The sequence below is a fragment of the Homo sapiens genome, chromosome 12 (genome assembly GCF_000001405.40).
Source record: "Homo sapiens chromosome 12, GRCh38.p14 Primary Assembly".
In the NCBI taxonomy this organism is placed as follows: Eukaryota; Metazoa; Chordata; class Mammalia; order Primates; family Hominidae; genus Homo; species Homo sapiens.
In genome coordinates, this window is record NC_000012.12 from 25,263,583 (window position 1) to 25,264,540 (window position 958).

The 958-nt window shown below is 42.1% G+C and overlaps 1 annotated feature.

Annotated features, from left to right (window-relative positions):
• Positions 308–387: an enhancer, noted in NCBI's record as "active region_6116". NCBI's record gives its function as "activates an Ori minimal core promoter by ATAC-STARR-seq in GM12878 lymphoblastoid cells {active_cell/tissue: GM12878}" and the evidence as "EXISTENCE:reporter gene assay evidence [ECO:0000049][PMID:35858748]".

Consider the following 958-nt stretch of genomic DNA (forward strand, 5'->3'; position numbering starts at 1 on the left):
CCTTACTGAAGCTAAACTTCTTCACTCCTCTACTTGTCCTGCCACTGTGATTTTGCCCGCTGCCTGGAATTCTTGTTTCATGTCAGAATCCTCCATGATTTTTAAGCGTTAGCAAAGCAGATTCTAATGGGGAGACGGTTCTAGACCTGTGTGTTATACCTACTCCTTGGTTTTATGGGGAAGTGAAAACTCTCCAAAAGTGCAAATATTTGACCACTATTTTTACAATATTCTCTCTGATGTATTTTTATCATAGCCTCAAAAACTTTCATGACAACATAATACCTTCAAAACACCGTAAAAGTCTCATTTTTAGAGAATATGTCTGGGGGAAGCAATCCCCCCCTTCACACCCAACTTGGCACCCTCTTACTTCAAGGCTCTTCTCAGATGACACTGTCATCATAAAGCCTCATCTCTGATTCTCTCAGTAAGAAATGATTTTCTACTTCTTTGCAGAGTTTACAGGAAAAAAAAAAAGACATAATTTCCACTCTTCTTGACTCTCATTATACTTTATCTGTTTCTCCTATTCATTCAAACATCTGTGTGGCCTCTGAGTGTCTGGTGCTGAAACTGCAAGAGTAAGAAGCATCCTGCTGCTAAGCATTTAACCCTCTTATGTGTGTGTCGTGTTTGGAAGGGTCTTTTCAGTGTGCCACAAACAGGCACACCCAGGCTACTCCTAATCAATAGGAATATATTGTGAAGCTCTGCAGGGAAGTGAAAGAAAGAACAAGAAAGTGTCTCAATAGCCACATCAATTGAGAAAAGAACCTTTCCCAGGACACAGCTGTGCTTGGGACCCTCCAGGCTCAGAAGCACTAGCTATCTGCCTCAGCTGGCCATCCTCATCCCTTCAACTCAAGCAACACAACATCAGTTACCCCTTGTTCTAGTTTTCCACTATCACCATGCCTTAGCAACCTTCCATCTCTGCTTCTCAACTGCAGCAACA